Below are 24,256 nucleotides of genomic sequence, written 5' to 3' on the forward strand. Positions count from 1 at the left end.
TCATGAGTTTTCCGGAAATGGGTAGGGGGTGGGCAATTCCCAGAGCTGAGGATTCCTCCCCTTTCTAGACCATGTTGCCATGGCATTTGTAAACTGTCATGGCGCTGGTTGGAGTGTAGCAGTGAGGACGACCAGAGTTCACTTTCATCTCTATCTTGCTTTGGGTGGGTTATGGCTTCTTTACTGCAACCTGTTTTATCAGCAAGGTCTTTATGTCCTGCATTTTGTGCTGACCTCCTATCTTATCCTGTAACTAAGAATGCCTAACCTGCTGGGAATGCAGGCCAGCAGGCCTCAGCCTTATTTTACCCAGCCTCTAAACAAGATGGAGTCGCTCTGGTTTAAACGCCTCTGACATTTCCCCGCTCCCTTTTATAAGAGAACCCTTAATCCTAAGGGTCATAGAGAGATGAAGGTCCATCTTTTGTAACTTCTGGAGGCTGAATGAGGTGATGATATTCCTGCCTATCTATTAGGGTCTCAGATCCAGGGTAGAGAGGAGTTCAGTCAGAGAAAGTCCGTATGGTGAGGGCCATTCATAACTCTGACTAAAAGTGATATAACTAGTTTCCAGATTTTGGAGAAATTAGATAGAGAGAAACAAGCATGCTTCAAATTTTGTTCACAGGAGCGTAATTTATGCAATTGTTGAAAGCTGTCAATAGCTCAAAAGAAAGGTTTCCTTGACTCCAAAGTCAGCCAATCAGTGTTGGTCTATTTCCTTTGGGTCAGGGGTCTCCTTAGTATCATCCCTTTGTGGTTGCCATAAAGATGTTACCAGAAAGGGGTCCTAAACCAGACCCCAAAGAGGGTTCTTGGATCTCACATAAGAAAGAATTCAAGGCGAGTCCGTAGAGTAAAGTGAAAGCAAGTTTATTAACAAAGTAAAGGAATAAAAGCATGGCTACTGCATAGGCAGAGCAGCCCACCTCCCTTTTTTGTTGGAGAGCTGCTGGTTAAACTTTTGTTAGCACACCACTGGCCAGAGGCAATAAGCTACTAGCCCCAGGCCAGATGGCTACCATTAACATAGTTTGTTTGACCCACATGATATTATTTAAAACAAACAAACAAAAAAGCTGAATGGCAAGCCGACATTTACAAATTGTGAGAATTCACATAACAACCTGGAATTCCTCATTCTCTGAAGGATCAGATCTGGCCCCATCAGATTTTCCCATGGCAACACTCAGTTGGAGCTGAGCCACTGTAGAGCTTCAGGTGGGGCATGCACCCTTACTTAACCACCATCCCACCACTCCCTGTTGTCCCCCAAACCCTGCAGCTAAGTGCCAAATGCCATTAATCCCCATGCCTGCACTGTGGATTTTCTCTGCCCATTCTTCATCCCACAGCAGCACAAACTGAACCATATTTTTAGTCCAGAAATCTGAAACCTCAGGCTTGATTTATAACTAAATTAGCTTTCCTTTTCTGTTGGTTTAAGTCCCATTAACTCACAAGTATTTCTCAAAAGACTTACTTAAAACATATGTGAAAGGGCTTTGAAACTATTAAAAGCTACCAAATGGAAGATATTTATAGGAGGCATATACTTTCTATCATCATTTAATTTTATACTTTATTAATAAAAATTATTAAAATTCAATTTGTTATATTTTCAGTAACTAATGACAATGAATATATTACTAATCTTTTCACTTGTCTTTTCTTGCTTTCCTTTTTCCTCCTTTTTCCCCTTTTCCTTATTTTTTCTTTCACTTTAACATTATCTGCAGTACAATGTCAGTAATGAGGTCACATTTTTCTATTAAAATTCATACTTTGGTCTTTGTTTTGGCCTAATTTAAACACTGACATGGGCTCATGCTAATTAGCCTGAATGGCTAAATCCCCCACCAATTAAGCAAATGTAGAAATTGCAGATTATTTCAGTTACTCTATGTTAAGGTTAAGTGAAAAAAAAAAAAAAGTGATGTATGTGATCTAAAGTCATCAACCCCAGGATATCCTGTTAAGTCATGGACTATTTCTTATCATTATGGTATCATGAATGCAATAATGTTTCAAATTCATTCCACTCCAGGTTTAGACATTTGTATCACAATTGCAGTGGATTCTTTTTTCTTTTCTTTTTTTTTTTTTGAGATGGAGTTTTGCTCTTGTTGCCCAGGCTGGAGTGCAGTGGCGCAATCTTGGCTCACTGCAACCTCCGCCTCCCAGGTTCAAGTGACTCTCCTGCCTCAGCCTCCTGAGTAGCTGGGATTACAGGCATGCACCACCACGCCTGGCTTATTTTGTATTTTTAGTAGAGACAGGGTTTCTCCATGTTGGTCAGGCTGGTCTCGAACTCCCGACCTCAGGTGATCCGCCTGCCTCGGCCTCCCAAGCCATGGATTCTTTACAGTCCACTTTAATGGCAAGTTGCGTCTCTATGAGGGAAAATTTTCTTTGTACAATAATGAATCCATTTAATTTTTTCAAAAGTATGTTGCTTTGGTTCCTTTTATCAGCACACATAAAATCATTTTGTGTTAACCGTGTCATATAAAATGCCTTCACTTTGCAATCTTAACCTTCCAAATGGATTGAGCCTTAGATGTTTTTTTGTTAATTATCTGTTAATAATTTGAGCACTTTTAACAATAGAAATAATGTTGTAAGTGGTGAGTAAATTCCCAGGCTAGCCCCTAATGTAGTTAAACATAGCTTGAATGGTATTCATCTAAGTTCTGATTTTTGGAGCAAGAGGAAAAGGAGTAGGAGAAAGAAGATGAAAATGAGAAGAGAAATTGGTGAAATGGTATAGCAGGGGCAAAGACAGACCATGCAAAGAAAGAAAAGGAAAAGAATGTGAAAGGCTAGAAGTGAAGAACTTTCCTTGCAGTTAGGCTGTGCTCTAAGCAAAATTTTGAGATAGATGCAAATGTGTTTTGTGTCCTCCAATTTTCACTGCTGCATCCCTCTCTCTGGAACACTGGTCCCCCCATTTGATCCTAAGGTCTTACCCTATCCATGCCTGTGGTACCTCCACCCCAACAAACACAGTCTCCAACCTCTTATTTCTTGGTGCATCTATTCTTAGCAAGGTATTTAGAAAAGATCAGTTTAAGAGAACCTAATCATTTTATTATTATTATTTTTTTTTTTTTTGAGATGGAGTTTCGCTCTTGTTGCCCAGGCTGGAGTGCAATGGTGTGATCTCTGACTCTGTCACCCAGGCTGGAGTGTAGAGTGCAGTGGCACGATTTTGGCTCACTGCAACCTCCGCCTCCCAGGTTCAAGCGATTCTCCTGCTCAGCCTCCGAGTAGCTGGGATTACAGGCATGTGCCACCATGCCCGGCTAATTTTGTATTTTTAGTAGAGATGGGGTTTCTCCATGTTGGTCAGGCTGGTCTTGAACTCCCGACCTCAGGTGATCCGCCCGCCTCGGCCTCCCAAAGTGCTGGGATTACAGGTGTGAGCCACTGTGCCCGACCATTTTATAAAACTCATAGTCCCCAAACCTCTGAAATTGATTATTCTCTACTTAGGGGAATTCCAAGCAATTTCACAAAATGAAACAGAAAAAAATTAAGGCAGTATTTTGAAAGAAGATATGTTTCTTGGGGGTCACCTTCTAGGAGGAGCTCCACTAAGCAGTCTCTAGGGTGTATTGCTTTCTCCATTTCTGACGGGACATTTCCCTGCAGGCTTCTAGTTGCAGAGACCAAGCCTAGCTGGCTCCCAAGACATGTCCCTGGACGGAATCAAGTTGGTTTTTTGGTTTCTTTTTCTTTTGTTTTTCAAAAGTGTTCTCGCAGTTGGGCACAGAGCAGAACAGAGAGCTGGTTATTGGTATGTGTGGCTGTGTTGCAAATGGAGCCTGCGGAGAGAGGCACAGTTGTGGGTAGGGATACCTATCTCACGGCCTTATTTCCAGATTCCTTCTGCAAATTATTCATCATTTGCCAAAGTTCCAGGCAGCTGGACACAGTTATTATGCTAGTAAATAAATGTGACAACATAGCTTTTGTTGCTTGGCATTGGGAAGGTTCTAAAGTAAGAAAAGTCAGGAAAGTTGTTGGCAATGCTGGTAACGTTTTCAATACTATATGATTTTAAGGCTGAGTCCCTGTTGAAAAGAGCCATATCTAAGAATGAGATATACATACATGGCTGCCAGCCTTTGTGTAACCACATGGGCTTCTCTCTGGAGTCACTGTCCCCACCGCTATGGATGAGTAAGCTCTGCTCTGGGAAGGGATGCTTGGCCTCCATGTTGATGCGCAGCCTCTTCAGACCACAAATAGCCAGGTATTCAGTGGGGAGAGTGTTGGTGCTGCACAGGGAAAGCTTCAGGTCTTGGACCAGCGTGAAGTTCAGCAGGTGGCCCAGCGCAGATGTGTCCGTGAACCAGATGGTCAGATGGCCATTGTAGCTGGTTCGCTCTACTGCAAGGGGCAGGACGGTTTTACAGTTGCACATCAGGTTGGCCAAACTGTAGTCACAATCCCGGATGTCCGCAGAACAGCTGCAGTTCCGAATGGTGTTTTCCCTTGTGAAGATGAGCGTGCTGTTCTTCTGACCTTTGGTGAAGCAGTTAAGTGCAAAGACACCCAGAGTGCTGATCAGAAGAAGACAGTGCCTGGAAGGTGGTGCCATGCTTGCCCAGCATGGGCCAGCGTGTTTATCCCCCCTCTTTTTGAACCAATTTGTTGGAACTCACCTGAAAGAAAAGAGGCAGCTTTATCACAACCTTTCATTTGAAATACACAGCTTATGGAAAAGGAACCCCAGAAAAAAACAAGTTGTAAACATTTCTTTCTTGCAGTTCTAGTAACTGTTTCCTGAGCCACAGGCAATGCTTGCAGCCCAGGCACTGGGCAAGCTCTTTTCTCAGCACCTCATCCAGAGACAGCAGCCAAACCTTTGAGCTCTGCTCATCTGAGGTGTAAAACTCCCAGTGATGTTGGCTGACAGTGAGACCAACATGCCAACAACACAGCCAGAGCGATGCCAGAGCGGATGCCAGAGAGGAGACCTACCGCATCCTATCTATGGGCAGGGATTTGGAGTTGAAAGAGCACATTCTCCAAACATCCAATTACTAGCATGAAGCGCCCAAAAACCCCTGAACATGACATGCTTTCCTCCCCCTCAATATCTGACTTCCTGGAATTCGGGAGACAAACACTTCTTTGTTGGATTCAGCTATCCAAGCGCTACCTATTACACAACATAGCATGAATACCAATGAAGCATTTAGTTAATGGCAAGCTTTAATTTCTAAGTAGATAAACATGCCTCCCATCCCCACCATATTAATCTGTTTGTGAGTCCATTCATCCTGTTCAGGGCCTCTTACAAATGTACCTAGGTAACTGTGGTAATAGACAACAAAAAGACTAATCACCCACCGATTAATCACAATTATTTTGACTTAGCTACTCTTATGCCAGAAGAAATTTATGAACTGATCTTGTCAATGTATTGCAGGGCTCCAAAACAAAACCATATATAAGAACTTCTAAAAAATCTAAATAAGGTAGGGATGCATGGGTAATTTAAAGAGCAGCACCAATGTCCAGTTTTGGGTAAAAGCCCTACAGTGTCTGGCATATGACAGATGCAGGATCCTCCTTTGTGGTGTGATTGGAATGAGATGAGATGAGCATTATGGCAGAGTGTACCACATTTCAGTTTGGCGAAAGTAATAACATTCCCCCAATGACTGAGGAGAGAAACCAAACAATACAATTCAGTCTTCTCCATTTGCTAAGCTCCATGGGTGTGGTGGGATACTTGGCATGCGACCTCTGAGTGGGAGGGCCCAGAGCTACTGGCAGGGCCACTACACTAAGGGCCAGGGAGCCACAGATGGAAGGGTCAGTCTGAAGAGCTCAACATGTGTCCAAAGAGTACAGTGACAGCAGGAAAGAGGCTAGGCAGACAAGCAGCAATTAGGGTGTAAGATGAGGCCACAAGGCAATTAGAAATCCAAAGGAATCAAGGCTAAAAATGCCAGGGATCGGGTAGACAGGCAGGAGGCACAAGCCACAACCCCATGGCTGGGATGCCAGGAGGATAGAAGTAAGCTCTGCCGCGTAAACTTGAACAGAGGGTGAGACATTGATTCACAGCAACTGTGACTGTATTCATGCATTCATCCCTCCCTTCCTTCCTTCCTTCATTTCTTCATTTCTTCCTTCCTTCTTTCCTTCCTTCCCTCCTTCCCTCCTTCCCTCTTTCCTTCCCTCCTTCCCTCCTTCCTTCCCTCCTTCCTTCCTTCCTTCCTTCCTTCCTTCAACTAATGCTTATTGGAAGATTACTAGGTGGCATGCCCTCTGCTAGCCATGGGGGTACAACTCAGAACAAGACAACCCAGGGCCCAGTCCTCATAGAACTTATGTCCTAACGAAATTGATTCTGCTTCCAATGGGCTGGGGCGTCATAGCCCAAAGCCAGGCCCGTCCTGCATGTGAGGATGGAGAGGCTATAGCAGTGGGGAGGAGGCGAGAGGAGGGGGCAAATGCAGGAGTTAGGCAGGGCCCAGCCTGGGCTGTGTGCCAGGCCCTGGCTTAGGCCAAGCAGAAGAAACAAAGATACAAAAGACCTGGATCCTATCCTCCAGGATTTATCCTCAAAGGAAAAAGACCAATAAGGCTGAACTGAGAAGCACTGTACTGAACATACAGGCGGCTATGAGAACATAGCAGAGAGAGAGAGAGATTCGACGCGGGGGACTGGATAAGGCGGTTTAGAGTGCTTTGTATCTATTTTGAAGTTGGCACAGGATTTTCTTAAAGGCTTCTTATTAAATGTATTAATAGGTACATTTTGTCATGAAAGAAAGAGCTTTGAGAAACGTGGAGAACAAGCGTTCTCCCTGAACAAGAGGCTTAACAGTCTTAAGCAGTGTTAGAATGTGGGTGTGTCTACCCCCTTAGTGAGGAACGGTGTATAATTTATTAATTACAAGATAATTTTAGACAATCAGCTGTCCCAGATTCCACTGGAGGCCTCTGGGACTTCGTGTCCCAGTAACCCTGTTATCCCAGAACCAGGAATGCTGTCAATACTGTTGGCCCACCCTGACCCTAGCCTTAAAAGAAAAAAGAGGGGAGAGGTCTATTCATCAGCCCGAACCTAGTGAGAAAAGTGTCTGCCTCCCTGTTTCAGGTGCTGATCCTTTTAGAGGCAGCCGTGGAAGAGGAAAAGAGATCAGAAGAGAAAAGGATATTGGTTTGCGGAACATGTGGGACAAGAAGTTCCCAGAAGAATTTGTGAGCAACTTCCCGACAGTAAGGCCCTGGCTAGACCTCAGGATGGTCCCTGCCTCCTGGACATTAGGAAGCCCAAAGGCCAGAACAAAAACACATGCCTAGTGGGGGAAGGCTCACTAAGAGGGCACCAAGTGGGGCAAATACCCCTGGTAACCCATTTATGGAGGCTGCCACAGAAATGCTAGTTGGAAATTTTCCTCCTTCAGTCTATCATGAATTTCTTTTTTCTCTTTTGAGATGAAGTCGCCCGGGCTGCAGTTCAGTGGTGCAATCTCAGCTCACTGCAAGCTCTGCCTCCCAGGTTCCAACGATTGTCTTGTCTCAGCCTCCTGAGTAGCTGAGATTATAAGCACGCACCATCATACCCGACTAATTTTTGTATTTATAGTAGAAATGGGGTTTTGCCATGTTGGCCAGGCTGGTCTTGAACTCCTGACCTTAGGGTGATCCACCCATCTTGGCCTCCAAAAGTGCTGGGATTACAGGCATGAGCCACTGCACTCGGCTGTACCGTGATTATTAGTTCAAGGTTCTCTTTCACTGGGGTAAAGACCTTAAGAGAGCAGTTTTTGGGCTTTATATTCTCAATTTCCCGCACAGTGCCTAGCACATAGCAAGGACTCAACAAATTTCATTGAATGAATGAAAAAACATAGTTTACCAAATGTCAGTGTACTCAAACTCTTTTAACTGCTAGCTATAGAAATCCAATTAAGACTCACTTGGGTAAAAAAAAATAAAAAAATAAACAAAATAAACTGCTCACTTATTTGAAAAATTAAGGAAGGATTTCAGGCATGGCTTGATCCAGCTACTCAAAAAAGGTTGTCAGAAATGTCTGTCCGTTCTTCATTTATTCTTTCTCATTTGTGGGCTTTGTTCCCAGATAAGATCACTCCTTCTGGGGACAAGATGGTCACTAGTAGATCCAGGTTTACTTTCTATCAGCTGAGCAACCTCTCAAGAAAAAATAAATAAATAAATAAACCTCTCTTTAAATAGCACCAGGCTGCTGGGTGTGGTGGCTCATACCTGTAACCCCAGCACTTTGGGAGGCTGAGGTAGGAGGATTGTGGGAAGCCAGGAGTTCAAGACCAGCCCAGCCAACATTGTGAGACATAATCTCTACAAATAAAATAAATTAGTTGGACATGATGGTGTGCACCTATAGTCCCAGCTACTCGGGAGGCTGAAGCAGAAGGATCACTTGAGTCTGAGAATTCGGTGTTGTTTAAGCCACCCTGTTGTGGTATCTGCTATGGCTGCACAGGCAGAAATAGGGACACAAGTGCAGGTTCAGGGCAAGGTGTGTGAGCACACTCAGTCCCTGGCCTCGGAGTCTCTCTGGATGGCTTCTTGCCTAGGGTGACTGACAGAGGGAGGGATGATATGCAAAGGCACCTGTTCTCCTCATGACCTAACCCCAATTCTTACTCCACGGGTTCATGACAGCCTATTCTGCTGGAGACTGTGTCTTAAAACTTCCTCCCCTAGTTTCTCTCAAGTACCCCTCGTGAGCTGTGATTTCACTGGGCTTTGAACTCTTAGGCCATTTGAGGCTGCAGTGAGCTATGATTGTATCACTGCACTCCAGCCTAGATGACAGAACGAGACCCCATCTCTAATGAATAAATAAATATGGCTGGGCACAATGGCTCAGGCCTGTAATCCCAGCATTTGGAAGACCAAGACAGGCAGATCGCTTCAGCTCAGGAGTTCGAGATCATTCTGGCCAACAAGGCGAAACCCTGTCTCTACCAAAAATACAAAAATTAGCCAGGCAGGGTGGCATGTGCCTTTAATCCCAGCTACAGGGAGGCTGAGGCAGGAGAATCACTTGAACCTGGGAGGCAGAGGTTTCAGTGAGCTGAAATTGTGCCACTGCACTCCAGCCTGAGTGACAGAGTGAGACTTTGCAACCAAAAAATAAAATAATAATAATAATGAAATAAATAACCAAATAAGTAAATAAATAAATATTAGGAGGCAAAAATACATTGGACTCCTGAGTCGTACACTCAGCTTGGGAGCCAATGAATGGGATCAGCCCCACTGCAAAGAGTGGACTGAGAGGGTAGAAGGATGGTTCTGCAAAGGGAAATCAGGAGGCGCTATCAGAAAAGGGCCAGGTAGGCAGTCAGAAAGGTGGGTGCCCACAAGACCCATGGGATGAGCATGGGTGAGCATTGCAACTCTACTCCTCTCAGTCTCAGCAAACACTAAAGCACCACTTTGATAAAATGCCCTCTAAGAGTGCAGATATATGTCTGACTTTGTGGGATATATTCAGATTTTCAAATTGGCTCCTTTACTGGAGGGCCCCTCGATTTTACCACCCAAGAATCTTCAAGGATTTTTGCAGGGACACACTTTGGGTACTGCATTTGTGAGCAATAGCCCTGCTTACCTCTCCAAGTCCTGGCTTCACAGTGTGTTCCTTGGGGTGCCCGGGCCCTAGCTTTCTTCTGGCTTTAACCCCAGAGCCATAACTCAGATCTATACTTGAGACTGCTTCTTGCCAGGGCATCTTCTCAGCTTCTGACTCTTGAGCCTTTCACAATTTTCTTCTCTTGAGTCTTTCCCCTAATTGCATTTCCACTTTAAAAATAAAAATCACAGCCAGGCATGGTGGTTCACACCTGTAATCCCAGCAGTTTGGTAGGCTGAGGGGGGCAGATCATTTGAGGTCAGGAGTTCAAGACCGGCCTGGCCAACATGGGGAAACCCTGTCTCTACTAAAAATACAAAAATTAGCCAGGTGTGGTGGTGCACACCTATAATGCCAGCTACTCAGGAGGCTGAGGCACGAGAATTCCTTGAACCCGGGAGGCAGAGGTTGCCGTGAGCCGAGATCGCACCACTGCACTCCAGCCTGGGTGACAGAGTGAGTGAGACTCTATCTCAAATAATAAAATAAAAACCACTTTTGATTTCAAATTAAGCTCACTTCCAAATTACGTTTTTAAATTGCTTTTGATTTTTAATTGCTATAAGGATTTGGAGAATGTCACTTGATTTTTCCACAATTAGTTATTTGTCTTTTGTGTTAGGACTATAGAGCTCAGAACATCATTATTTATGACATTTCAAATCTGTTTTGGGCAAATGCTCCAAATGCTGTCCTCCCACTGACACAATATCTCCTTACTAGTAATATCTTCTTATAAACAGAACTAGTCAAGTTTGAAACATTCCTTTTGAAGCCAAGTATAAACATTATCTAAATGTTGGGTGTAATCCTAGATTGAGAAGGAATCTGTGTGGAATTTGTTTTGAAGTAACTGATGTCTGTATCTCCTCAATTTAGAACCCTCTGTCTTTATGCAGCTAGTTGCTAGTATTGTTCTTGAGATTTCTTCAGCTGCAATACAAAAATAATACTCAAACTGATTCTGAATAGTAGCTCTGGTTTTTAAACATGTCCAGTGATTTAAAGGCTCAAATATTTAATAATCATGCACAAAGGCTCAAATATTTAATAAGTAAGCACATAGGCCGGGTGTGGTGGCTCACGCCTGTAATCCCAGCACTCTGGGAGGCCAAGGCAGGTAGATCACGAGGTCAGGAGTTCGAGACCAGCCTGACCAATGCGGTGAAACCCTGTCTCTACTAAAAATACAAAAATTAGCTGGCCATGGTGGCATGTGCCTGTAATCCCAGCTACTCAGGAGGCTGAGGCAGGAGAATCGCTTGAACCCAGGAGGCAGAGGTTGCAGTGAGCTGAGATCGCGCCATTGCACTCCAGAGTGAGACTCTGTCTCAAAAAAACAAAAAAAAAACCAAAAAAAAAAAAAACATGCACAGTTTTTAGCATCTTGACTGAAAAATTTGGATGTGTAGACATCCCCTGAGTATTTGTCATGGTTGCATCAAGCTACTTATTGCGTCTTACAACCTAGGTATATCAGAGACTTCTAGTCCCTGTGAATGCCATGTTCTCCTCTCCTTCTTTAGCACACTGTTGGACTTCATTTCTGAGCTTCTGGTAGTGAAGTGGTACCATGTGATTGAGTTCTGGCCAATGGAATATGGTGGAAGATTCCACGAAGGAACCGACGGCCCTAGAAGATGGCAGAACTGTAGACAAAAGGCTGAATCCCTGAATGATTGTATGAAAGAGAGCACACCCCTCTTCCCCCTTAATGGCATTAGTCTGTGATGTAAGGGAGGAACAGATCTCAATTACTCTAAGCCACTGATATCTTGAAGTTTGTCAAAGCAGCTAGCCTACCCTGCTAGCTGGGTACAATACAGCAGGTGCTAATATTGCTTTGCAACTTAGGATTTTTACATCCTCTTTTCTCAAAAGAAAATGAGAAATCAACATTTAGAGGACATTTATTGGATGCCAGGCAAATGGCCTAAGTCATGGGGAAGCAAAAATGAAGAAGATATCATCCATGCCCTCAAGGGACTTGAAGTGTGCCCAGAGAACTTGGAATGTACTCTGGGAACAAACAACTGGGCAACTAATTATAAGACAATGTGATTGGTAGTTCTTAAAGATGCAGATGGAGGCCAGGCACAGTGGCTGACGCCTGTAATTCCAGCACTTTGGGAAGCCAAGGTGGGCAGATCATCTGAGGTCAGGAGTTTGAGACCAGCCTAGCCAACATGGTGAAACCCTGTCTCTACTGAAAATACAAAAAAATTAGCTGGGCGTGGTGGTGGGCACCTGTAATCCCAGCTACTCAGGAAGCTGAGGCAGCAGAATCACTTGAACCTGGGAGGCGGAGGTTGCAGTGAGCCGAGATTGCGCCATTGCACTCCAGCCTGGGCAATAAGAGTGAAACTCATCTCAAAAGAGAAAAAAAAAAGATGCAGATGGAGTGGTGGTAAGGGAGAAACGGAAAGACTCTCAAAGGATGTGCTCTTTGGGCCAGGCAGAGAAGAGGTTCGGGTTAGGAAGGGCGAGGCAGTGCAGATATAAGAGTCATTGGCGCAGATGTCAGAATGACTAAAGTCCTTAGTATGTTTAGAGCAGGTATAAGACATCTGGAGGTCCATGAGGCTGGGGATGTAGGCAGGAAGACAGGGTTAGACAGGACCTTGCTGGTCAAGCTAAGGGGTTTGGACTTTATGCTGGCAGTTACTTGGTCTCCAAACTCTTCTGATCATCACCCCATCAATAAATGATTTTAAAACCCTCCCCAATAGATGTATCTGTTAATTTATAAAGGCCATTCACATATTACCATGCTTACATATCATCTGTATTATCAACAATACACAAACTGTAGCATTTTTAAAAATTTAAGATGAAAAATAAATAAAAATGAAAGTTTGAATATTTTCAGCTCTACCCCACTAGCTTGGCTTGCAAACCTCCTGTGAGGTAAGCTCCCTCTTTGGAGGCTCCTGCAAGAGACAAAAAATGAGATGGTAAAGGTCTGAAGCAGGAGACATCTACTTAAATCTTGTTTAAGGAAGGTAACCTAGGTTGCCAGGGAGAGACTGAATCTGGGGAGAAAACACTAGTCAGGACAGTGAATTCTAAATAGTTTTCTTTTGTATTTTCCTCAGTGATTTCCATCTCTCCATTTGTTGACTCCTTCTAACTCCAGGCTCTTTGGATAAATTTGTTTCAATATCTGGAATCCTCAAGGGGATGGAGAGAACCAAGAATGTAGGATTGAGAAGGTGGGGATGAGGATGAGGCTGTCTTCCTCCTATGAGCATGAGTCAGGATACCTGCTAGAACCTCCAGGAGGGAACCAGTGGTACAGGGAGCAGGAGAGCCCAGTGGGCAGCACAGCAAAGCATTTGTCTCTCTCTGTCTCCCAGGCTGGAGTGCAGTGGCGCGATCTCGGCTCACTGCAACCTCCCACTCCTAGGTTCAAGCAATTCTTCTGCCTCAGCCTCTCATCGTTGTCTCATTCTTAGCATCCCAACACAGCTTGCCTGGGAACGCCACTCCCTGAGACATCCACTGTGAGCCCTGACAGCCACGAGAAAAACATAGCTCATTTTCTCAGAGTTAGGAGCCTCTGGGTGGCTTCATCAGACTGGCAGCAAGCCTAGCTGCTAGTGAGGGCTAGTTATGGCAAACTATGGAGTAGGTGGAGTAGCTCTCCGATCCCCAGTTCCCCTTGATGTGCCTTCCTCTTAACTCCCTGATCATCCATTCTTTTCTTTCCAGGAGCCAGTGCTGAAAACCCGCTCACAGATTGGTATCTGATACCAGTTGGTTAGGCCTTAATCGGAATTTAAACTGACACATTCTTGTCCAAGGGTATTTGCACTGTAAGCCTTATGGCTACCTTGTTCCTTATTAGAGAGATAGCAAGGATCAAACAGAAAGTATGGGAGGAGTGTGGGGTGGAGACCCACGCTGGGCTCCAGAAACAAGTGGTCACCTGTTCTCAGGTCCAGTGCCCACTTGTCCAGGGCTGTGCAACCCCTCTTCCCGTTGAGGTCAAGGAGGGGTGTTGGCTATTCTGTTATGTGGATGAGATGCCCACACAGGCAGTGTGAGGGCTTTAGCTGTAGGACCTTGAAATGCTCTTGAAAAAAGGGATTTTTAGCATTTTTCTTTTCTTTGGCTTTGTTCCACGAATGCACTGCAGGAGATAGGTTAGAGATAAACACTATGTAAGATATTTGAAAACGGAATGATATCTTTGTTGTTTACTATTTCAAAGCTTATGAAGTTGAAAACTAATTTGGGTCCCTCCCCAATGTTTTCTTACTGTGATACTGTGATACTGTGATACTGTGTCTTTTATTTCTTCTTCACATTCCACAACAGCACATCCTCATCCTTGGTATGAGCCACTGAATTTTCACAGGCCCTTGCAAGGATCTAATGCTGAAGTCACCGTTCTGTGCAGTCTCTGTGGGTGAAGATCACTTCCCTTTCATTGTGGTTTACACAGTTCATTGTGCGGGGCAGGAAATGAGTTCCCAGTAATTCTGATGTGATCGGAATCTCATTTGGTTTCTATAGTAGGATCTAAACTATATGCTCTCATCTGATATTTTTGCTCATCTAGAAAAAGATGAAGTAAATTCATGTCTCCATAAGTTGGAATTATGCAGGCAAAATTAGCTTCAAGTATGCAATTTGGGTTTTGAGAGGACACACTTTAAAATATTTTTGTGACTGTTCATGTTGAACTCACTAGTATATAGTTGGATCAGTCGGAGAACCTGTCTGAGTCTTATTTCTCTTGACAGGGCACAGGATAATAATCCAACCACACAGGTTGCAAAAGCAAAGTAGATGCATGTGATTATATATATATATATATATATGAATAGTACTATATTATTTATTTATTTTGTTTAGAGATGGGGTCTCACTATGTCATCCAGGCTGGTCTTAAACTCCCAGGCTCAAGTGATTCTCCTGCCTTGGCCTCCCAAGGTGCTAGGATTATAGGCATGAGCCACCACACCCAGCCTGAATAGTTCTGTAGTATTATGTATATTGTATACTCATAAGTACTCATAGGCATGCTACAATATACATAGTACTATTCATAGACATTGATATTTTGTAATATCAGAGTCATAGTGATAACAAATGTATTACCATGCTCTGTGAGGGCATCCCAAAAGCCACCCCAAAGAAATCTAAAGTAACTGGTTCATTTAATGCATTACTTGTATCAAACATTTGACTAGACAGAGAACAAGCACAGCGTAAAACAAAAATGTCTCTCTGCATGATTTTTCCTGTAATTAATCCAATCAGATTTACAAACGTCCTCCTGTAAATTCTGAGGATTGTGAGGTCCTGAAATTATTAGTGAGCTAGTCTGGAAAATAGAAATTAATTATCTGATTCCCATTTCTACTAACTTAAATGTGAATGAAATGTTTAAAGGAACAGCAGGAATATGGGATGTGATCAAAACACTTTATTTCTGATCTCCAACTGTGCCTAATGGATGTTATAGTAGGTCAAATAATGGTCCCTAAAGGTGCCTGTGTCCTAATACCTGGGCCCTGTGAATACATTACCTTACATGGCCATAAGGCCTCTACAGATGCTATTAAATTAAGAAACTTGAGATAAGGAGATGATCCTAGATTATCTGGGTGGGCCCAATGTAATCAACAGGGTCCTTATAAGAAGAAGGCAATATGACAACTGAAGCAGAGATTGGAGCAATGTGGCTACAAGCTGAGAAATGCGAGCAGCCTCTAGGAGCTGAAAGAGGCAAGGAACAGATTTTCCCTTGGAGTCTCCAGAAGGAACCAGGCCTACTGACACCCTCACAGTAGCCTGGTCAGACTGGTTTTGAACTTCTGACCTCCAGAAGTGTAAAATAATATAGATATGTTGTTTCAAGCCACTAACATTGTAGATTATATTTTTTTTTTTTGAGATGGAGTCTCGCTCTGTCACCCAGGCTGGAGTGTGGAGTGCAGTGGCACGATCTTGGCTCACTGCAATCTTTGCATCCCGTGTTCAAGCAATTCTCCTGCCTCAGCCTCCTGAATAGCTGGGATTACAGGTGTGCACCACCATACCAGGCTAAATTTTATATTTTTAGTAGAGATGGGGTTTCACCATGTTGGCCAGGCTGGTCTCAAACTCCTGACCTCAAGTGATCTGCCTGCCTCAGCCTCCGAAAGTGCTGGGATTACAGGTGTAAGCCACTGCGCCTGGCCAAGTTGTAGAAATTTTTTATAGCAGCAATAGGAAATGAATACAGAGACGGTGAGGAAACCAAACCACCACATCAAACCACCCTTGTGGACCAAACCAGCCCTTCTGTATTCACAGCCCTGCAGTGTTTGCTAATTACATTATGTGGTTTATTCCTCTCATTAGCCTGGATCATTGGTAACTAGTCTCCTGAAATACCGAGCTCAATGCTCCCATAGAATAGTCACACTATGTTGGACCCAGCCAAGCCCAAATGGATACATCTGGCTACGTCTTATGAGTTGAGGGGGAACCATCTTCAGGTGGTTAATTGCATACATGGAATTGTTGAAGGAGAGCGAAGACGATATGGGAGGGCCCAGGGCAGGGAAGAGCAGAGGGATGGGACAGTGGCATTTGTGTCTTTCCAGCCCAAACGTATGCCTGAGGCTGAGTCCGGTCAGGTAGCAAGCAGAGGCTGCAAGAAGTGCTTTTAAGAATTCTGAGATGTGAGGCACAAGTGGCCCCCTGCCCAGGCAAGAAAGGGTGACATTGAGTGGTGGACAGAAGCATTTTCTCCACTTCTGTACTGAGTACAGCTCAGCTCTAGCACAGTGAGGAATGAGGGACAGATGGCACTATTTGACCCTTTCTCAAGAACAGACTGGGGCTACCCCTGGATTTTGCTCTCTGGTCATCAAGCAACAGGGAGCCCCATGGCCAAGGTAAGGGACAGTCAGCATCCAGTGGGGGCTGGGGACAGAAGCAGATGAAAGGACCATTGTGCGCATAGGCAAGACCCCTGGGGACTCAAAGAAGCACCTAGAGGAAATTCTGTTTTGTAGACGTAGTGGTGGGAGGAGGCAAGGACCTGTATCTGGTAGGTGGGAGCACGAGCCAACAGAATACAAGCTATTCGTGTTCACTTAACTTCATCTGTGCCCTCTGGCTGGTGAAGCCAGGAGCTCTTCAGGTATCAGCTGGATTACCTGTTTGAGATTAAATTGATTGAATCATAGAAATAGACTAAAGTGCTTAGGAGCTTAGAAGCTGAGTAAGAACTGACTGAAAAGTAGATATTTTATTTGGAAAGCACTGAGCTCACCTGGGTATTAATTTCACCCACTAATTTGCTGCCTGGATGCGGGGCTTCCTTGTTGGTTTACTGTGGGGTTTTATTAGTCCATTTTCATGCTGCTGATAAAGACATACCCAAGCCTGGGTAATTTACAAAAGAAAGAGGTTTAATGAACTCAGTCCCACATGGCTGGGAGGCCTCACAATCATGGTGGAAAGTGAGTCGTGTCTCACATGGTGGCAGACAAGAGAAGAGTGAGAGCCAAGTGAAAGGGGTTTCCCCTTACAAAGCCATCAGATCTCGCAAGACTTATTCACTACCACAAGAACGTTATTGGGAAAACCACCCCCGTGATTCAATAATCTCCCACTGGGTCCCTCCCACAACATGAGGGAATGATGAGAGTTACAATTCAAGGTGAGATTTGAGTGGGGACACAGCCAAACCATATCAGGGGGTCAGGTTTCTGATGCCTTCTTGCTGATTGCGGTTTCCCCAGTCCTTAGCACAGGGCCTGGCACATAGGAGCACTCCATGACTATTTATATTATCCAAATGAGTCCCTACATTTGCTAAGCCAATGAGGCATGTTATTGATCCTTGATTCCCTCTTATGCCTTTTTTTTTTTTTTTGAGACAGAGTTTTGCTCTTATTGCCCAGGCTGGAGTGCAATGGCTTGATCTTGGCTCACCACAACCTCCGCCTCCCGGGTTCAAGTGATTCTCCTGCCTCAGCCTCCCGAGTAGCTGGGATTACAGGCATGTGCCACCACACCCGGCTAATTTTTAGTAGAGACGGGGTTCCTCCGTGTTGGTCAGGCTGGTCTCGAACTCCCGACCTCAGGTGATCCACCTGCCTCAGCCTCCCAAAGTGCTGGGATTACAGGCGTGAGCCACCACACCCAGCCCCTCTTTTGCCTTTTACCTCCTAGGATTGTCGAGTGTTAGCAAATCCGCAGGCAAAATTCATATTCTTCTTCAGCGACTTTCATTGTATGGCCTAGACATGGCAGAAAAACCAGAATGAGTTTCTGTGTATGGGTGACAGGGTGGGAATTTGAGCTTACTCTCCTATGGCCTAGCTGTGCATCATCCTTGAAAGCCATTGAATGACATCTGGCAAAATCCCAGGAGGCACCTCCAACCTCCTGTGACTTTACAAAAGGCCTAGTCTAGGTTCCTGATTGCCTTACAACTTTCCTGTGAATCTGATGAGGAGGAAGCGTGAAATACACTTGGCTAGAATGGAGACCGTGAGTCCCAAGTCAGGCCTCCAGTCACTGCCCTTCCATCTTATGCCACACACCTTCCGAGGGGCGAAGGAAAACATGAGTAGAATTAGTATATTTTGGTCTCACAGATATTTGTGAGCATCACGAAGCCATTCCCCTAATTGCTCTTGGTTGAGAGATTACAACAGCCCTTGCTGCAAAACTCCCCCACAACCTAACCTTTCAGAGTCCAATCTTGCAAAGCTAACTCAGGGAGAGCTTTGCTTAAATTACTGGGCTAGTATTATGTGAGTGTGAAGTTGCCAAGGAAAATGAGTCAGACACTAATCCCTTTGCTAGGAGATGAGAGAAAAAAAAAAAAAGGCTGGCAGACCTTTACTATTTTAATTACCTGCTTCCAGAACAATAAAAGAGAATTCAGATCTTCCACTTAACAGTCGTGCCCTTCTTATATTCCCGTAAAGTACCTGCACTATTTCCTTAAGATGTAAGCCTTGGGCTTTTTTCCTTTCAACTGTGTTCAAGCTATAGTTCCGACCATTCGATTTTGGACAAAAATAAGAATTAAAATTTCCTTTGCTGGTTTTAGTTACAAATATTGGAACCAATGAACATTTAAACCTTGTTTCTTTCTTGAAAGATTTTTCAGAGTTTTAAAATGCTTCCTGGGAATGATGACTAAAGGTAATGTGGGATCCTGGATGAGATCCTGGGACAAAAAAAAGGACAATGGGTGAAATCTAAGGACATCTGAATAATGTTTGGACTTTATTTTATAATAATAATGTGTCAATACTGGTTCATTAATTGTGACAAATATACCATACTCATGTAAGATGTTAACTCTATATAAGAACTCTCTATTATCTTCACGATTTTTCTGTAAACCTGAAACTATTGCAAAATAAGAATTTTATTTAAAAAGAGTGAATCCTGATCTCATTGATGACTCTTTGACGATTAGTTTTGTGACAGCAGCAGAGCTCCAGTAGATAATCTGGCATCACAATTTGGGCTAAACCGAGTGCCCATGAAATAGTGTCTAGGCACAACTCCAAATGAATTCTTCAGACCTCCTGGCCACAGAGAAGATTCTTTTTTTGTTTTTTTTAATGACCCAGAGACCAGGCATTTCAGAGATGGAAATGCGAAGTAATCCTTTTATGGGAAGTGGATCAAAACTGGGAAAGGAGAGGCATCACGGCATGTTGTGGGGACAAGCCTCGAGGGGTGCGTGTGTGTGTGTGTGTGTGTGTGTGTGTGTGTGTGTGTGTGATGTCTCACTGGGCTTTTGTTGTTCTTTCTTCTTTTCTTTCTTCCCTCCCTCCTTCCTTTCTTTCTTTCTTTCTTTCTTTCTTTCTTTCTTTCTTTCTTTCTTTCTTTCTTTCTTTCTTTCCTCTTTCTTTCTTTTTCCTCTCTTCCTTTCTCTCTCTCTTTCTTTCTTTCCTTTTTTGAGACAAGGTCTTGCTCTGTCACCCAGGCTGGAGTGCAGTGGCTCACTGTCACCTTGAACTTCTGGGCTCAGGCAAGCCTCCCAACCTCAGCCTCCTGAGTAGCTAGGACTATAGGTGCGTACCACTGGCTAATGTTTAAAATTTTTTGTAGAGACACAGACTCACTGTAGTGCTCAGGCTGATCTACAACTTCTGGCCTCAAGAGATCTTCCCACCGCCCAAAGTGTGGGGATTACAGGCATGAGCCACCGCGCCTGCCCCCATTGTGTTTTCTTATTCTCCAATCTGGACCCCATTCGCCTCATGCTGGGTATGTTGCCCTCTGTGTTTGGGGATGATTTCTGTTTCTTGTCCACTAAGAAACTACCTTCATCTCTGATACTGTCTTCAAATCTCTCCTCTTTCATGACATTTTATTATGCTGGGGGAATAGGTGACAGTTCTTGTTTGACTCAAACCTACTTTTCTTAGAGTGCAACATCAGTCTATTGTAAGATAAATTAAAAAAAAAAAAGAGCTTTTGTAAGCCAATCTGTTATCACACAGAGCCTAGTACCTAGTCGTGTTAGATTTTTAAGCCACTCCAAAAAACCAGACTTTTGCTGTAATCATTCTATTGCAACCATTCTCATCAGGTTCCCAGTGAATCCCACCACCCCCATACCAAATCCAGTGATTAATTTCCTGGTCTCATTTTGTTTGACTTCCCACAAGCATCTGACTTAGTTGCCTCCCCCTTCTTTTTGAGTGAATAGTTTTCTGTTCCTCCATGATGTCACATTCTCCTGGTTTTCTGGCTCCTTCAATGGCCACTCCTTCTCAGTCTTTTGGCTGGCATTTGATCTTTTTTTTTTTTTTTTTTTTTTTTTTTGAGACGGAGTCTCGCTCTGTCGCCCAGGCTGGAGTGCAGTGGTGTGATCTCGGCTCATTGCAACCTCCGCCTCCCGGGTTCACGCCATTCTCCTGCCTCAGCCTCCAGAGTAGCTGGGACTACAGGCGCCCACCACCATGCCCGGTAATTTTTTTTTTTTTTTTTTTTTAGTGCAGACGGGGTTTCACTGTGTTAGCTAGGATGGTCTGACTCTCCTGACCTCGTGATCCGCCCGCCTCGGCCTCCCAAACTGCTGGGATTACAGGCGTGAACCACCATGCCCGGCCCTGATCTTCTTACCTGTTATTGTTGCATGTCCCCAGCTCAGTGCATGGCTGTCTTCTGTATGTGCGTCCACTCTCTTGGTGCCTGCATGCTGTCCTGTGAAGTTAAATACCACCTAGATGCTGATGGTGAACTGAGATACGTCTCTAGCTCCTGACTGCATCATGCTCACATGTCCCACATTGTATCTGATAGCTCTTTCTGAATGTCTAGTAGACATCTCCAACTTAACATGCCAAATACACAGCTCCTGATTCCCAAGAAAGTTCAGACTCCTATGAGAAATGTTACTGTACCAGTAATTCACTGTTCCTCAGCCCTGTGTTCCCAAGGCTAAGCTAGCTAAATACAGCAAATTGTCATTGATAAAGAGGCAACATACTATAATATATAAAATGTGATACATGTATGTTGTATACTGAAAATTGAATGAAATCAGGAACTATCCATATTTTTATTCACTAATAGTAAGATCTAATGAGTGTTTCTTTTGTGCCAGGTACTGTTAAGTGTTTCACGTGTTTTATGTTATTTAATCCTTTCTGTAATCCTACAGGTAGATATTATGGCCCCCCCTCCCCTTTTTTTTTTAGACCGAGTCTCAGTCTGTCACCCAGGCTGGAGTGCAGTGGCACTATCTCGGCTCACTGCAACCTCTGCATCCCGGATTCAAGTAATTCTCCTGCCTCAACCTCCCGAGTAGTTGGCATTATAGGTGTTGCACCACCACGCCCAGCTAATTTTTGTATTTTTAGTACAGACTGGGTTTCGCCATTTTGGCCAGGCTGGTCTCGAACTCCTGACCTCAAGTGATCCACCCACCACAGCCTCTCAAAGTGCTGGGGTTACAAGCATGAGCCACTGCATATGGTCCCATTTTCATATCAGGAAATGATACATGGGTACTCAGGGAGGTTAAATAACTTGTCCAAGGTCACAGAACTAGTTAATAATGGCTAAAATTTGAACCCAGACAGCCAACTATACTCTGAAGAGTCATGGTGGAAATTACAGCGCTATTTCCTACCCCAGGGTCTTGGGCCTATTCAAGTGAGATTCCATGCATTGTATTCTATTACTAGATGCTGTAGCCTTTAACCTATATGTGTATAGAACCCTCATGCTAAATGCTATGATTTGAATGTGTTTCCTAAAGTTCACGTGTTGGAAACTTAATCCCCAGTGCAACAGTGTTGAGAAGTGGGAGCTTTAAGGGGTGACCTTTAAGAGGGCGGTGCCCTCATGAATGGATTAATGCTGTTATTGAGGAGTGGGTTGGTCACCATGGGAATAGGTTTCAAATAAAAGGATGAATTTGACCCCCTTTCTCTCTGTCTCTCTTATGTGTGTGCACATGTTCTCTTGCCCTTTCACCTTCCACCATGGAATGAAACAGCAAGAATGCCCTTGCCAGATGCAGGCCCCTTGACCTTGGAATTCCCAGTCTCCAGAACCATAAGAAAGAAATTTCTGTTCTTAAGTTCATAATCAGAATAGAGGACAATATGAGCAGAGTGCTGCTTCTGCTAACATAGGTATGGAATGTGGGACAAAGAATTCTCAGAGAGTGAGCCACTGGGAAGTCCTAACTAAAATATGTGGCTACCGTACTTTTCTACTTGACACAGTCCTTGAGAGAGTGAATTAGGCAATGAGTGCAAATCCTTCAGGCTTTCCCCTTGAGTGACTTGGTAGACACTCAGTTAATTGCATCACTGGGGTTCACATCCACAGCTTTGCACAGCTGCCCCTTGGTCCCACGCCCACAGAACTGTGAGGCCTGCCTGTTCTTCCCACTGGGGCCTATTGACCTATTAGCTCCCACAGACACAGACACAAGCCACTGGGCACTGAATTTTAAAAGCTGATAATGTGGCAGCTTTAAGCAGTGAAAAATATTAGTGTGGAAAAGAAAGATGAGAAATCCAAGTCAGCTCTTGAAAAGCACTCATTTCCATAAATACTTTATTGAAACTGTTATTTTCAGAAAATGCCCAATTTCTGTCAGAAAAAAAAGTAATGAAAAGTCTTTTTTTTTCCTTCCAAACATATTGCATTATTTAGACTAAAAAAAAGCAAAAAACTTCTCAAGGATGGCTCTTTTCGGTAAAAAATTTTCAAACAAATGAAGTCTTTTTTTTGGTATTTTTTAAGGGTGGGTTTTTTATAAATATTATGCACAATGTTTTTGAAACATTTCCTGTCCTCAGTATACACCAACATACTTTTTGCTAAAAGCTTTCCAAAAATATGCTTATTAAACAAAGAAATAAATGCAAGACTGTATATGTTCTACTCATTTTGAATTAAAACATTCCCCTCTTCATCTTGCCTTTTGCTACATTATTTATCATGCTTTTTCACTTTTGAATAAAAGACCAATTTTTTAAAAACACGAACTATCCAATCCAAATGTTAATGCTCATCTTAGCTTACTTTCTTTTCTTTGTTTTCTAATCAGCAAACTCTATAAAGCCTGGTGTGTAAATAGGCAGTAAATATAATATTATTAAAAGATAAAACAGAGCAAAGAAACAGTATCAGCCGGTGTTTTGGGAGTTCTCACTTTTCTTTGTTTGTGATCACAATAAGGAAAAGAGATATCATATCTCTTTTCCTTAATTGTTATTTAGCATTGAAGACTAATGGAAAAGTCTAGCCAGATGTTTTAAAATAGAGACAAGATTTCAAGGAGCTATCTGTTATATTAGCTTTAAGTGAGTTTATCTTTTTAGGGTTTAAATGAGAAGACCATGTCATTCTTTGCTTAATGCACTGAAAATCTTTCATTTTAAAGGCAGAATCTCAGTAAAGAGGAATTCATATGCCTGGAAGCCTAAAAAAGTGTTTCATAGTGAAAGCCACTCATACATGTACATTATGTTCAGGAAATGCAAATGCAACAAGAAGGTGACCCTGACAATGGTTCTTCCAACCGTCACAGTTCCTGCCATGCAGCAGAAATTCTGAAGCTCTGAAAAACTGTCAGACTAGACATGCTTTTTAAAAAAGAAGAACACAGAAATTACTTACATCTGAGAGTTCCACCGTGAGGCCTCGCCTCTCCACTCCACAGACCTCTGCCTGGCCACGGATCCTTCACCCTGGCTTGACAGCTGGTTTAATCTGCAAGCCAGGGTGGAATGCGTGGTCTTGCACTTGCTGTTCTTTTCCGTCTTCGGAGGGCCAGCAGCCTGGTCATTTCCATGGCAACCAGGAGGAAGCTGCTGGCCTACCAGTCTCATTAACTACACGCAGGAGAGAACCTGCCTTGGTGACTGCTGACCACTCTTTTGGGGTTCTAAACTGGGAAGTTTCTAGAAGAAACTGAGGAGACTGTTGCTGTAGGCTGATCCCAAAGGATTGACACAAATGGAAGAAATTCTACTTTAGCAGGAAATTGAATGGATTAAATGTAGAGTACGGAGACTCCTTGATACTTTTACTTTCATGATTTATTCCACCTTTTTTGGTCTGATGAATTGTTACTTATGGTAAATGCCTGCACTACTG

At 43.6% G+C, this 24,256-nt stretch overlaps 1 protein-coding gene and 1 long non-coding RNA gene across 5 annotated transcripts in view; one reads left to right on the plus strand and one right to left on the minus strand.

Annotated features, from left to right (window-relative positions):
• The window catches only part of EPCIP-AS1 (EPCIP antisense RNA 1), a 25,608-nt gene extending 17,716 nt beyond the window's left edge, over window positions 1-7,892 (plus strand). For both annotated transcript variants that reach the window (NR_024622.1, NR_024623.1), the window contains exon 4: window positions 7,124-7,892. This is a non-coding gene — a long non-coding RNA (EPCIP antisense RNA 1). The remainder of the gene's footprint in view (window positions 1-7,123) is intronic.
• EPCIP (exosomal polycystin 1 interacting protein) lies at window positions 858-23,888 on the minus strand. 3 transcript variants are annotated; one of them, NM_001162495.3, is made up of 4 exons: window positions 23,777-23,888; window positions 20,759-20,839; window positions 17,827-17,901; window positions 858-4,670 (listed from the first exon to the last, which is right to left on the minus strand). In NM_001162495.3, the coding sequence occupies exon 4, from the start codon at window positions 4,604-4,606 to the stop codon at window positions 3,947-3,949; it is 660 nt and encodes a 219-aa protein (NP_001155967.2). In that variant the 5' UTR covers window positions 4,607-4,670; window positions 17,827-17,901; window positions 20,759-20,839; window positions 23,777-23,888; the 3' UTR covers window positions 858-3,946. The 3 variants fall into 3 exon arrangements, with proteins under 3 accessions (NP_001155967.2, NP_062542.5, NP_001155968.2); NM_019596.6 differs by lacking the exon at window positions 17,827-17,901; NM_001162496.3 differs by lacking the exons at window positions 17,827-17,901; window positions 20,759-20,839.
• Window positions 23,889-24,256: the final 368 nt, after the last annotated feature.

The sequence above is a fragment of the Homo sapiens genome, chromosome 21, assembly GCF_000001405.40.
Source record: "Homo sapiens chromosome 21, GRCh38.p14 Primary Assembly".
Classification (NCBI taxonomy): domain Eukaryota; kingdom Metazoa; phylum Chordata; class Mammalia; order Primates; family Hominidae; genus Homo; species Homo sapiens.

Coding starts and splice junctions, on each gene's coding strand:
- EPCIP (NM_001162496.3), bottom strand. CDS start 4,606: ATGGCACCACCTTCCAGGCACTGTCTTCTTCTGATCAGCACTCTGGGT.